At 40.8% G+C, this 14,613-nt stretch overlaps 3 annotated features.

The window, feature by feature from the left end:
• Positions 1-500: an enhancer, noted in NCBI's record as "H3K27ac hESC enhancer chr4:129655317-129655816 (GRCh37/hg19 assembly coordinates)". NCBI's record gives its function as "activates a minimal SCP1, AML or CMV promoter by ChIP-STARR-seq in naive H9 embryonic stem cells {active_cell/tissue: H9 hESC(naive)}" and the evidence as "EXISTENCE:reporter gene assay evidence [ECO:0000049][PMID:30033119]".
• Positions 501-1,002: an enhancer, noted in NCBI's record as "H3K27ac hESC enhancer chr4:129654815-129655316 (GRCh37/hg19 assembly coordinates)". NCBI's record gives its function as "activates a minimal SCP1, AML or CMV promoter by ChIP-STARR-seq in naive H9 embryonic stem cells {active_cell/tissue: H9 hESC(naive)}" and the evidence as "EXISTENCE:reporter gene assay evidence [ECO:0000049][PMID:30033119]".
• Positions 5,195-5,364: an enhancer, noted in NCBI's record as "experimental_74072 CRE fragment used in MPRA reporter constructs". NCBI's record gives its function as "activates a minimal promoter by MPRAs in K562 erythroleukemia cells, with activity observed for both the introgressed and non-introgressed 4:129650538 variant alleles {active_cell/tissue: K562}" and the evidence as "EXISTENCE:reporter gene assay evidence [ECO:0000049][PMID:34662402]".

Here is a 14,613-nt window from a genome sequence, read left to right as displayed (position 1 = left end):
AAATAAAGTGTGTAACAGCTTTTGCTAATAAATGGGCTTCCTTCAACAGAATACAGATATTTACAAAATAAATAAATAAATGGGTTCCCGTGGAGACAAGGCTAAAATCACAGTAACAGAGTTCAGTTGTAATAAATAGCAATGAATACAGTGGTGTTTCTGCAACAGAAGAGGCCTAAGCTTGTTTGAGTCAAAAGACAGCTTCCAAACCCTCTGTGTCAATATGACAACCTGACTTAAGATTTTGTTATCTTTTGGACACCTGATTTTAGGCATGATGAGAGAAGAAAATAATAATTTTCAATTTTATTATTTTATTTTATTTTATTTTATTTTATTTTATTTTATTTATTTTTTTGAGACGGAGTCTCACTCTGTCGCCCAGGCTGGAGTGCAGTGGCCTGATCTCAGCTCACTGGAACCTCCGCCTCCCGGGTTCAAATGATTCTCCTGCCTCAGCCTCCTAAGCAGCTGGGACCACAGGCGCCTGCCACCACACCCAGCTAATTTTTTGTATTTTTAGTAGAGACGGGGTTTCATCGTGTTAGCCAGGATGGTCTCGATCTCCTGACCTTGTGATCCACCCTCCTTGGCCTCCCAAAGTGCTGGGATTACAGGCATGAGCCACCGCGACCAGCCTATCTTATTTCATTTTAAAAGAGGGATTATTATAGCAAACCCTATTACTTATTATTGTGAAAGGAAAATAAATTTCAGGACCCCAAAATCACTAGGCCAAAGGAAAAGTCAGGCTGCGAACTATGTCAGGCAAACCTGCTTCCCATTTTATTCCTAAATAAGATAGCTACCACGATAAAAAGCTACATACCTCCCGCACAATTTGCCCACAAGGAAATTCCTTGTGGACAAAACAGGCAGAACTCAAAGTCATCCTTCTAAGGCTCACCTGAGACAAAGGCTTATCTGATTGCTTTCTCTGCCCTATTTTGTAAAAATGCAGATTCACCGAGGCAGACTAAATTGTGCATTCAGTGGAAGGCTGATCAAGGACTCAAAAGAATGCAACCTTTTGTCTTTTACCTACTTATGATCTGGAAGCACCACCCCACTAAGTTGTCCCGCCTTACTGGATGGAACCAATGTACATCTTACGTATATTGATTGATGTCTCATGTCTCTTTAAAATGTATAACAGCAAGCTGTACCTCAACCACCTCAGATGTGTGTCCTCATGACCTTGTGAGGCTGTGTCACAGATGTGTCCTTAACCTTGACAAAATAACTTTCTATACTGATTGAGTCCTGTTTCAGATACTTTCTGGTTTACATTATCTAACGTTAACAATTTTCAATAATCATCATCAATGATCAGTAATTGATATAAGAAATAGGAAAATGGAGCTCTTCTCCTTCCGGAAGCATTCTGTGATGGAAAGGGCCCCGGATAAGACTTGGAAAGATTTAGATTCTATTTGCCAGTCTTGGGAAAAAAGAATTTTAATACTAGTGAGGCTTACAATAATTAAGATAGTCACAATGAATATATGACAAGCTGATCTGAAAAAATTAGACACTAGGAAATGGAAAGAATTATCATTGATGATCGTCAATCCCTAGGAATTTGTTTTCTCTGACCCAGCATTCAATTTTGTTCAAAATACTGTAAAAGTAATTGCTGATGGTAAAGAAAATTTTCAACTGCAACAGTAATATTAACATTGTCCTTACGGTGGGTTTTATGAGTCCTTGACTGGGAAGAGTGGAATGGTACTTTTTCCAAGACTGCTGCAGGGTTCTAATTTCAAAAGATTATGGTGGATGTGAGAAATACAAAAAGGGAGCTCTTCTTCTCCTTCCAGAAGCATTCTGTGATAGATAGGGCACAGCATAAGACTTGGAAAGATTTAGGTTCTCTTCCCAGCTCTGCTGATAAGAGGCTGAGTGTCCATTCACGGAATAAGAGTGAAACCGCCTTTCCAAAACTATAACTAAGGAAATTATGACACTGAAAGATACCTGAGCTAACCAACTCCATCTTGCTTCTAACCTCTAAACTGTCCTTGTTCATTTCTGGGTATAGGCCAAACTAGCCTTGGGAAGGAATTTAGTTTACAGTTTAAATAACAAGAGCCCTTCCCAAAAGCTAGACTGTTCTTGTAAAATGAATGAAAGGCCACCAGCCACCCAAGTTAGAATGAGAAGGGCTGGAATCCTAAATATTACCAGCCATTATTCCGGAGGTCATAAGATTCACAACTTCCCCAACTTCTCTTAAAGGTAACATCACTATTGTGAACCTCAGATCTGCCTTTTGAGATGTCTTTTCAGGTTTTTGCATTTCTAACAACTGGATGGTCCCACCTGGACCTGCCAACCAGTTCTGTGGCCTCCCCTCAGAAGCTGAGTCAGCATAAGAAAAAAACTTCAACTCCCTATGATTTCATCCCTGAGCCAACCAATCAACACTCCTGATTCACTGCCCCCTGCCCCCCACCAAATTATCCTTAAAAACTCTGATCTCCAAGTTTTCGGGGAGATTGACTTGCATAATAATAAAACTCTGGTCTCCTGCACAGCCAGCTCTGCGTGAATTACTTTATTTATTTATTTATTTATTTATTTATTTATTTATTTATTTATTGAGACAGAGTCTCGCTCTGTCCCCCCAGGCTGGAGTGCAGTGGGGCTATCTTGGCTTACTGTAACCTCCACCTCCCAGGTTCAAGAGATTCTCCTGCCTCAGTCTCCTGAATAGCTACAACTGCACATGTCACCATGCCCATCTATTTTGTTTTTTTTTTTTTTTTGTATTTTTAGTAAAGATGGGGTTTCACCATGTTGGCCAGACTGGTCTCAAACTCCTGACCTCAGGTGATACGCCCTCGTTGGCCTCCCAAAGTGCTGGGATTACAGGCATGAGCCACCCCACCGGCCAAATTACTCTTTCTCTATTGCAATTCCCCTGTCTTGATAAATCAGCTCTGTCTAGGCAGAGGACAAGGTGAACCCATCGGGCGGTTACAAAAGGCCACTAACAGAATAAAGTACCATATTAAATAATAACTAAAAACAACAACAACAAAAATATACAGCAGGGAATTATGCCAAGTCCAAAAGCATTTTAAATGACAGCAAATTGAGGCCTAAAATGGCCACGATGGTTAAAAAAAAAAAAATGAATGAATCAAATCTAATCTAATCAATGTCTAGATTTAACCACCGCTTATGGAGGATAGAGGAACAAGTGAAATAACCACAAGGAGACAGTCTGCCCTATGCAAAATAAAACATCTTACAGGAAAAAATGAGCCAGTTTCTTTTTCCCTCCCTCCCTCCCTCCCTCCCTCCCTCCCTCCCTCCCTCCCTCCCTTCCTTCTTCCCTTCCTCCCTCTCTTTCTCTCTCTCTCTCTCTCTCTTTCTCCCTTTCTTTCTCCCTTTCTCTCTTTCTTTCTTCTTTTCTTTTCCTTTCTTTTTTGAGGCAGGGTCTCACTCTGTCACTCAGGCTGGAGTGCAGTGGTGCCATCTTAGCTGGCTACAACTCCTGCCTCCTGGGCTTAAGCAATTCTCCTGCCTCAGCCTCCTGAGTAGCTGGGACTACAGTCACGCACCACCACACCCAGCTACTTTTGCATTCTTAGTAGAGACAGAGTTTGGCTATGTTGGCCAGGCTGGTCTCGAACTCCTGACCTCTAGTGATTCTTCCGCCTCAGCCTCCCAAAGTGCTGGGATTACAGGTGTGAGCCACCGTGCCCAGCAGAGCCAGTTTCTATAACAAATTTCTGCATAAAAAAGTGACAGATGAGCCTGTGCAACACAAGGAGACCCCATCTTTACAAGAATATTAAAAAAAAAAAATTAGCTGGGTGTGGCGGCACGTGTCTGTGGTCCCAGCTACTTGGGAAGCTGAGGCAGAAGGTCGTTTAAGCCAGGGAGATCAAGGCTGTATGAGCTGTGATGGTGCCATTGCACTCTAGCCTGGGCGACAGAGGGAGACATCTGTCTAAAAAAAAAAAAAAAAATTAGAGGTGTTTACTAAAGTATTTACAAAGGAAATTACATGATGTCTGAGACTTTCTTTTAAAATTTTCAGGAGCCGGGCGCTGTGGCTCACGCCTGTAATCCCAGCACTTTGGGAGGCCGAGGCGGGTGGATCACCTGAGGTCAGGAGTTCGAGACCAGCGTGGCCAACATGGCGAAACCCCGTCTCTACTAAAAATACAAAAATTAGCCGGGCGTGGTGGCGCGCGCCTGTAATCCCAGCTACTCAGGAGGCTGAGGCAGGAGAATCGCTTGAACCCTGGAGACGGAGGTTGCAGTGAGCCGACATCGTGTCACTGCACTCCAGCCTGGTGACAGAGCGAGACTCCATCTCAAAAAAAAAAAATAATAATAATAAATAAAAATAAAAATAAAATTTTCAGGAAAAGGAAGCAAGAAAGAAGAAAAGAAAAAGGAAGGGGAAGAGAAGGAAGGAGGGAGGAAGTAAAAAGAAATAAAGGAAGGAAATAGGTATAGGTGGAAGGGATAGATGAAGCAAGATTGATAGAATGTTCATTTTTGTTGAAACTGGGTAATTGGCACATTCTCTCCACTTTTGTGTACGTTTGGAATTTTTCACAATTAAATATATTTTTAATGTCTGCTTTGGTTCATTCTGGGGCATATGCTACTGATGTCAGTCAGTCTGCTTCTTGGGACTTACAGGCTGAGAATTTTTCATTCTATTTTAAATCAAACAAAATACAATAGTAGCACTTAAAGAACACAGGCAGTCACTATGTAGGATAGGCTTATGCTAGCATTGTTTTCCTGTCAAAATTCACTATTGCTGAAGGACTATTTACTTTCTACTTATTCACCATTTCTGTAACACAACATTTTCTACCTCTTGGAATTCTGTGCTTTATAAAATGCTATTTATAAATTAAAGACTGCATGAGTCCTCAAGCCTGGCCGCTTAGAATACAAATGAAACAGAGTAGTTCTTGTACCTCCAGAATGCCCATGAAAGTACATTTCATTCTGAGAACATGGTCATGGACTTCTAGGTGAAAAGGCCTGGTAGCAAATCTAAGCTTTACTAGTTAAGGTTGGCAAAATTTGTCAACTCAAGGTCCTAGCCCTGGGCAGATATGAATTATGTGGCTGTCTCCAACATTGTACCTACCTGGAGAATTTGACTTTGTTCAATAACAAATTTTGGTTTTATCAAGGGCATCTGCCCACATGAGCAAAAGCTAATAAACAGTAATTGGCAGGTAGGCACTCAAATATAAAAACAAAACAGTATTTGGTGGGGCTGTAACTTCTTTGTGCCCACGTTAGATTTCTCTCAGAATTCACTCCGCTGACAAAAACCTCTTGGTAGGTTTTTAATATGTAGAAAGCAAATGTCAAATAACAATTTAACTTAAGATCTGAACTTGATTTTGAAAAATTAGCAAAATTTTTGTATATGAATTTGCTGTTAGGGTAAGTTCTTAGCAGAATTCTTAACATTTTAGAGCTGCTGTTAAACGATGAGTAGACCAAAATGTGGTTGATTTTTTTCAAAATTGGAAGAAAATTATTAAAGATCTTTAATGATATTTCCAATGCTGTATCTTCAAGCATCCACTTTCCTCTGGATAGAGTCCAAGCACAAGAAAATTGAGGCAAGTCACAGAAAGGCCAAAAATTCGTTCTTGAAACACTCCCAACAATTAACATACATTGAAATATATTGCTTAAAAGAGCTGGCATTTATTTTTCAATGTGCTTTTTAACAGAAATGTAAGATAAATGCTGAATATGCATGTGTGTAGATCAATAAATTTTTACAAAGTGATCATAACTGTGTATCCACCACCCAGGTCAGAAAACAAAACTGCCCAGCAGTGCCCTCTGTACACTGACCAGTTACTACCCCCTCATCTCCACTCTAAGCCTTATCGTGTGCTCTATCAAATTCATTTTGCCACTTTTAAACCTTATATAAATGGAATAATGCAATATGATATTTTTATATCTACCTTCTTTGTAAAATTTTATATCTACTAACATTGTAAAATTCATTTATGTGGCTGCAATTGCTTTTATTTTCATTGCTAAATAGTATTTCATTGTATGACTCTCCCATTATCCAGTCTCCTGTTGATGGACATTTCGGTTGTTTCCTGTTTGGGGAATTATAAATAGGGCTGTTACAAAATTCTTTTTTTTTTTTTAACTTTAATTTAATTTTAATTTCTTTTTTAGAGACAGGATCTCACTCTGTTGCCCAGGACTGAGTGCAGCGGTGTCATCATAGCTCACTGCAGCCTTAAACTCCCAGGCTCAGGCATTCTCCCACACTACCTCCCAAGTAGCATGGGATTACAGGCACAGGCCACAGCTCCCAGCTTTTCTTATGAAATTCTTGTGCTACCTTTTGTTGCACATATGAATGCATTTGAGTATATGTAGATGGCACTTGTTTTAATAAAACCTGAGATTTATGGTGCAGGGACCATATTTTCTTTATCTGTGTGGTCCCAGGACCTATCAGTGCCTGGTACTTAGTAGATATCCAATAAATCTTTGCTAAATGAATGAATGAATGGATGATTTCTGAGGACAATTGTTTTTCCTACAGAACTTAATGCTGCACCATTCACATTAGTATATTTTGGGGTGTCATTGAAATCTTTCTGTTTGTACACATGTCAATTTTCCTTTCCAGAAGGTTTTATCATAGAGGTTTTCTGTATTATGTATCTGCAAATTGTAACTGAAAAGATTGATGCTCTGCAGGCCCCTCAAACAACAGCATGCATATTAAGACTGCCCTCTGCCTACTGCTGTTTACAGCTTGCCTTTTTGCTTTTTGAACTGCCTGACACTTTTGCTTAAAGAGTCATTTATCACTGATGGTGCATTCCACAGTTATCTGCTATTCTTTTTCCAGTATACCATAACTAGGCTTTCTTGAGTTATCTCTGGTTATAATATTAGCTGTCACAAGTTGGTTACATAAACTTAAAAAAGTGAACTTTAAACTAAAGTTTTTGACTTTTATCTTTTTGCACTGTAGGCGTGGGACAAAAAAGAGCACTTTTTGAGGCTATATTTACATGAAATGGGAACTGCTATGGCATATGCTGCAGGTGCTGATATATAGTCAAAAAATGGCCAACAATATTAGTATCTTACCTTATTTTACTCTCTCTAGTTCCGAAAATGTTAATTTTTCATTGTGGGTGGCATTCATTAATATAATGAGAAGATGGTGGAATCTGACAAAAAAAAAATCACAAGTTCTTCATGAAACTATGAACACAAGAGCCGGGCACAATGACTCACTCCTGTAATCCCAACACTTAGGGAGGCTGACACATGAGGATCGTTTCAGGCCAGAAGTTTGAGACCAGCCTGGGCAATATAAAAAGACCTTGTCTCTCCAAAAGTTTACAAAAATTACCTGGGTGTTGGGGCACACGCCTGTAGTCCTAGCTATTCAGGAGGCTGAGGTGGAAGGATTGCTTGAGCCCAGGAGGTTGAGGCTGCAGTGAGCCAAGATCACACCACTGACTCCAGCCTGGGCTACATAGCAAGACCCCATCTCAAAAAAAACCCCAAAACCACCGGCCGGGCATGGTGGCTCACACCTGTAATCTCAGCACTTTGAGAGGCCGAGGTGGGCGGATCACAAGGTCAGGAGTTCGAGACCAGCCTGACCAACATGGTGAAACCCCATCTCTACTAAAAATACAAAAATTAGCCAGGTGTGGTGGTGCACACCTGTAATCCCAGCTACTCAGGAGGCTGAGGCAGGAGAATCGCCTGAACCCGGGAGGCGGAGGTTGCAGTGAGCCAAGATCATGCCATTGCACTCCAGCCTGGGACAGAGTGAAACTCCGTCTCAAAAAAAAAAAAAAAAAACCCAAAAAACCCCAAAACCAACTAAACAAAAAAACACTGACCAAATGCTTAGCCAAGTAGACTTCAAGAGTGTTTCAGATTAGCTGGGCATGGTGGCGGGTGCTTGTAATCCCAGCTACTCACGAGGCTGAGGCAGGAGAATCACTTGAACCAGGGAGGTGGAGGTTGCAGTGAGCCCAGATGGTGCCACTGCACTCCAGCCTGGGGCAATAAGAGTGAAACTCTGTCTCAAAAAAAAAAAAAAAAAAAAGAGTGTTTCAGGATTCAGGATTATGTGACTTCTCACATTAAGGATCATCTAGAGCAGAAGACCCAACAGAGTTGGTAGCTCAAAATAATTTGCTCTAAGAACTTTAAAAATTAAAAATAATATATGATTTACTACACAGTTTAGTTGGAAATAAAATATCTTCATGAAGAGAGTGGTTTAGTGATATCAACCCAAAAGGCTTTCAGAGGGGCAACATCTAAAACAGACCGTCACTTCTAATGGTGTGTCCAATTAACTTAGAAATATCCTTGACATTTTTCCTCTGGGAAGAAAGACTTTGGGTGACAGTTTTTTTATGTTACTGTTGTTTGGGGTCGTGGAATTTTTTCTTCTCTGTTTTCAAGCCTTTAAGCAAAAAGAAATGGCCTTGAACCTAAGCACTGGAGCTTTATACCTCCTTACATACGTGTAGCTACTTTCTGGGTCATTGCACTTGTAGGTTCCTTTTTTTTTTCTTCCCAAAGTCATTTTGATAGCTCATCATTTAAAAACGACTGTTCTCAAAGGCTTCTTCCAGTTGTCTTTTAGATGACTGATTACAATCAGAAGAAGAAAAAAGTAAAATAAACTTTAAAGGGGAAAAATCCAAACCATTTACATCAGTGCCATAAAACTATTTTAGAAAACTAGCTTTCTATATTTTAATGCTTTCCATGTCTGAGGCATTTCTCCAGACTTTGGTGCTATAATTGTAACACCATCTTGACACTTCTACTTTTAAGCCACAAAGTTTTGTCTTTTCCTTTTTCAAAGAAAAAAAAAAATGTTGGAGCCAAGTGACCACTATGCATACTCATGACTCAGGTAATGGAGGCGCAGAGAAAGGTACACACTGAACAAGCAGATCTATATCCTGTGTTTGTTGATGGCACGTGGACTGGGGAAGGTGGCCAGGGCACTGAAGAAAGCAGAATGACTGAAGTTTGGACCTGTTCTGACAGGGCACTGGGGACACTGCCTGTAGGGAAGCCAGCAGGGAAGTTTCCTTTGTGGAATTTAGAAAAATGGGCCCCTGCAGGCATAGGAATTGACCCTTTAGACCTGTTAGAAAAAAAGCTCTTTTTTCCCCCCAAGTTGTTGCAAAAGGATTTCAGCCTAGATGTCAGCCCTTGCTCTATCCCTGAATCTGGTGCTCTGTGCAGGACACAACCCGTAAGATCACAGGCTGCAACCATGCCTTCATGGCAGCCTTGTAATTTACCAGTCCTTTGGCTGTCCCACCCCAAAAGGGGCATTTGTCTAGTTCATGTTTGAACCATCCAGAAATGACCTTCCCTACTCAGCCTCATTGTGACAGGAATTTTGAGGCATAAGCAGCTTGCTTTTTTTTTCTTTTGAGATGGAGTTTCGCTCTTGTTGCCCAGGCTGGAATGCAATGGTGTGATCTTGGCTCCCTGCAACCTTCGTCTCCCGGGTTCAAGTGATTCTCCTGCCTCAGCCTCCTAGGTAGCTGGGATTACAGGCATGCACCATGACACCTGGCTAATTTTTTTTTTTTTTTTTGGATTTTTAGTAGAGACGGGGTTTCACCAGTTGGCCAGGCTTGTCTCGAACTCCTGACCTCAAGTGATCCATCCGCCTAGGCTTCCCAAAGTGCTGGGATTATAGGCGTGAGCCACCGTGCCTGGAGCATAAGCTGCTTTCTGTGCACATAGTTTGGGACTGTTGAAGAAGGAGATAGGGAGAGATGAAGATAAACAGGCTCATCTTAAGACCTTTAAAAAAAAAAAGGAGTCAAAAAAAAAAAGCTGCAGTAGGCAGAGCTGGGAAAACTATTTATAACAGATAGAAAAAAGGAAAATCATATTTACTAAATGCTTCTCACGTGCTAGATATAGTTAAATGCTTTATTTATTTATTTATTTATTTATTTATTTATTTATTTATTTATTTTTGAGACAGAGTTTCAGTCTTGTTGCCCAAGCTGGAGTGCAATGGCATGATCTCGGCTCACTGCAACCTCTGCCTCCCGAGTTCAAGCGATTTTCCTGCCTCAGTCTCCCAAGTAGCTAGGATTACAGGCACGCACCACCAGTCTTGGATAATTTTTTGTATTTTTAGTAGAAACAGGGTTTCACCATGTTGGCCAGACTGGTCTCAAACTCCTGACCTCAGGTGATTCCACCCACCTCGGCCTTCCAAAGTGCTGGGATTACAGGTGTGAGCCATCGCGCCTGGCCAGGTGCTTTATTTCTTATAAATATTACCTCTTAATCGTCAAGAAACCCTAAACATTAGATAGTGTCTTTATTCTTCCAATGAGTAAAGAATCTAAATCTAAAAGAGAATATGTAAATTGCTTAAAGTCACTGGGCTAGTAAGTGGTAGAGTCAGCCCCCAGATATTATAACTCTTAATGACTAGCTTTTTCATTTCTCACAAACTGACACTTCCTGTCCCCAGATCTGACACAGGTGACCTGGGTCTGGATGGTGTGACAGGGACTACTGGCTACCTTCCAATATCCATTGTCTGTTTCTTTTTATTTATTTATTTATTTATTTATTTATTTATTTATTTATTTTTTTGAGACGGAGTTTCACTCTTGTTGCCCAGGCTGGAGTGCAATGGTGCGATCTCGGCTCATTGCAACCTCTGCCTCCTGGGTTCAAGCGATTCTCCTGCCCCAGCATCCGGAGCAGCTGGGATCACAGGCGCATGCCACCACCCCCAGCTAAATTTGCATTTTCAGTAGAGACGGGGTTTCTCCATGCTGGTCAGGCTGGTCTCGAACTCCTGACCCCAGGTGATCCACCCGCCTCAGCCTCCCAAAGTGCTGGGATTACAGGCGTGAGCCACCGCGCCCCGCCCTGCTTCTTTTTAAAAGCAGAACTCTGATTTTAGCTGAACACGTGGCCACTTAACTAACAGACTACATGTTCCAGTCGCCTTTGCAAAAGGTCACATGACTTATTCTGGCCAATGACATGTAAACCGAAGTGTGTTGTAGAACTTCCTTGAAGTTCCTTAAAGGCAGGACATGCATCTCCTTTGTCTCTTGTTAGTGCTACCTAAAATATGTATATAATCTTGAGCCGTAATGTTATCTTAGCAATAGAAGTTAAATATGGCAGAACAAAAGATGGAAGTAGGTTGGGTCCCTGACAAACTATCCACTTCCAAACTTCCTTTCTCTTTTTTAAATATTTATTTTATTTTTAATTGAGAAACAATAATTGCATATACTTGTGGGCTCATGTGGAATAATCAAATCAGGTTAATTATCATATCTATCATGTCAGATGTTTATCAGTTCTTTGTGGTGAAGACAAAATCCTCCCTTTTAGATATTGTAAAACGTATAGTACATTATTAACTATGTAGGTTGTGCATTGCACAAGGGCATTTTCCCTGAGAAAGGGGCACTTGTCTTCTAATATGCACAAAGGAGCTGTCTGATGACCAAGCAATTGCCTACAGTTCTACGTCTGCCCAGGCACTGTGTAGAATAGCTGTATACTTGTTTGTGACAGTAAGACTTTAACCTCTACTGATCTTAGTTTTCTCACTGGTAAGTTCCCAGGACCTGTGTTTTCTTACCTAAGCTAAGAACACTGGAATAGATAGGTTTAGGTTCTCCACAAGGTCTAAGAAATTCTGTCCTATTTTCTCTTTACAGAGACTCTGTGACCACTCAATCTAAAACAGTCACCCCTCCAGAGCCATTCTTTATTATACCATTTTATTATCTTCGTATATCTGGCCATTATCTGGATATGTTCTGTTCATTTATTGTTTACTTGTTTATTGTTTGTCTCCCTCCATCCCACACCATTCTAGAATATGAGATACATGAGAGTAGCAATCTTATTTGTCTTGAACATTGCTCTCTTCCCCATCACCCAGAGGTCCTGGTACATAGTTTCCAGTAAGTATTCATTGACAAATGAATGGATAGTTTTGATAGCGATATGAAATATTTTTTAAAATTTCACAAATACAAAGTACTATTATTAGCAGTAATTTAGGGTAATTTGTAAATGTTATGTTACTCTCATCAAGACCTTTGCTTTCCTTTATGCCACCTATCACATTTACCATGGAGACTTTTAAAGTTTACAAGGTAAGAAGATGATAAAAGAGAAAGACCGAAGTGCCTGTGTATAAATGAAGAACCTGGTGGAGGTGTCTTAGCTGTTATGCTATGCCTGAGTTAAAACAGCAGTTATGTTATTTTGCCCATTCAGAAACATCGTTTTAATACACATCTGGAAGGCCATCAGTTCAGGCTTTTTGCCACAGTAGAAGAAACCTGTCACAGAATAACCAAGAGATCACTGCTTTGCTCTGAATATAGAATGGAAACACACAGGTGATGAGTGAACCATTCTTTGTTTCGTGTGGGGAATCCTCCAGGCACATTCCTCATTTCGAGAAAGGTCAGATTTTTCCCACTCCCTGTAACCTTTCTCAAGTAGTCAGGCCAATCAGAAACTCCTCTTCCATCCCAGCTGCTGCGTCTGTTTCACTGGCCTCACAGTCCAGGATCCATGCTGGCTTGCTACTTGTGGAGCAGTCAGGGTACGAATTTGTTTTTTTCCTGAATGCTAGGCCCTAGTGGCTAGGGTCATCCCTTTTTAAATGACAGCTTTCTTTTGATTTCATATAGGTACCCTGTTCAGGCTTAAGAAGAACAAAAAATAAAGAGGAAGAGTTAGAAAGGAAAAAGGAAAACCAATGAGGGGAACGTTTGGTCATGACTGCTGCTGCTGTGAAATATTAAAATGCCAATGACATTATCCTGCTCATAAACAGAATAGAGATGCACAAGCAGCATTTGCAGCGTGTGATAAATGTCCTTAAAAGTAAGAAGGTGTAAAAATGAAATGAGATAGAAGACAGAGCAAAAAGGAAAAGCATAAGATGCAAATAAACAGCAGAAAAGAAGCCCTTCCGATCACTCACATAACTTGTTAAATAACATTTTAAAAACAGAAATGGTCGAATACAACTTCATGTCTTCAGTGTCTTGAACCTTTAGTTAGAAAAAGTGCAGGCCGAGCATGGTGACTCACGCCTGTAATCCCAGCACTTTGGGAGGCAGAGGCAGGCAGATTACGAGGTCAGGAGTTCAAGACCAGCTTGGCCAACACAGTGAAACACTGTCTCTACTAAAAATACAAAAATTAGCTGGGCGTGGTGGCATGTGCCTGTAATCCCTGCTACTGGGGAGGGTGAGACAGGAGAATTGCTTGAACCCGAGAGGCAGAGGTTGCAGCCAGCCGAGATTGCGCCGCTGCACACCAGCCCCGGGCGACAGTGCAAGACTGTGTCAAAAAAAAAAAAAAAAAAGAAAGTGCAGATGTACTGAATATGTAATACTAGGGATGGTTCTTCTAAATAAAAATGCTGCAGGTTCATATTATATTAACTTAATAAAGTGAATTTTTGAAAAATAATGTTTTGGCCATTTGATCATTTTATAAGATGTAATGGGATACAAAATAAATTTCTAGGTTAGAAAAGCAACTTTTTAATAAGATTAACAAAGAACACATGTAATAAGTCCAAGGTGAAATACTTAAAAATACATTAATTTGCTGGGCACAGCGGCTCATGCCTGTAATCCCAGCACTTTGGGAGGCGGTGGGGCAGGGAGGGAGGTGGACCATCTGAGCTCAGGAGTTTGAGACCAGCCCGGCCAATGTGGTAAAACCCCGTCTCTACTAAAAATGCAAAAATTAGCTGGGAGTTGTGGCAGGTGCCTCTAATCCCAGCTACTCAGGAGGCTGAGGTAGGATAATTGCTTGAACCCAGGAGACGGAGGTTGCAGTGAGCAAGCCTGCGCCACTGCACTCCAGCCTGGGTGACACAGCAAGACTCCATCTCAAAATAAATAAGTAAATAAATACATTGATTGGTTTTAAGACATGCTATTCCAAAATATGGCGCCTTGGCATATTAAATATATTTAAGATGAAGGAATTTGAGAACAGCAGAAGCAGGCAGGTTACTCTCACCTTCCCCGAGCCCCTCCCCCTCCCTGAAGGAGGTCATAAAACCTAGGAAGGTCACTTTTTGACCTACGGGCGTTTCTCCCCTGAAGCAGGTCATAAGAACCTCATGTGAGAAGTGCCCTCCTGATAGCTGGAGGGAAGGAACATCTTTATCTTTGAAGACACAGGGACACAGAGAAGAGAATCTGAACAAACAGGCCTTACTAAGATCCCCCAGTTTATTATTATTAGATCATTTTTTTTGTCCTCTAGTGATATTTCTCCACAATTGACTACTCTTCATCAAACCTAAGCATAAAAATACACAAGTTTCTTTGTTACGTCTTCATTTCCTTATGAATGAAGCCCCCCCCGTCAGGTATAAGATATTAAATACATTTGTGTGTTTTTCTGTTGTTAATGTCTTTTGTTATAGGGGCCTCAACCAGGAACATAGTGATGGATGAGGAAGAGATATCTCTTTTACCCTATAACATTGTAGGATATGCATATATCAGAAGCAGTAATGTCTTCAAATAAAGAAGA

This window comes from Homo sapiens, chromosome 4 (genome assembly GCF_000001405.40).
Source record: "Homo sapiens chromosome 4, GRCh38.p14 Primary Assembly".
Taxonomy (NCBI): Eukaryota; Metazoa; Chordata; class Mammalia; order Primates; family Hominidae; genus Homo; species Homo sapiens.
The sequence above is the reverse complement of the archived record's forward strand: the minus strand, read 5'-3'. Positions and strand labels throughout refer to the sequence as shown.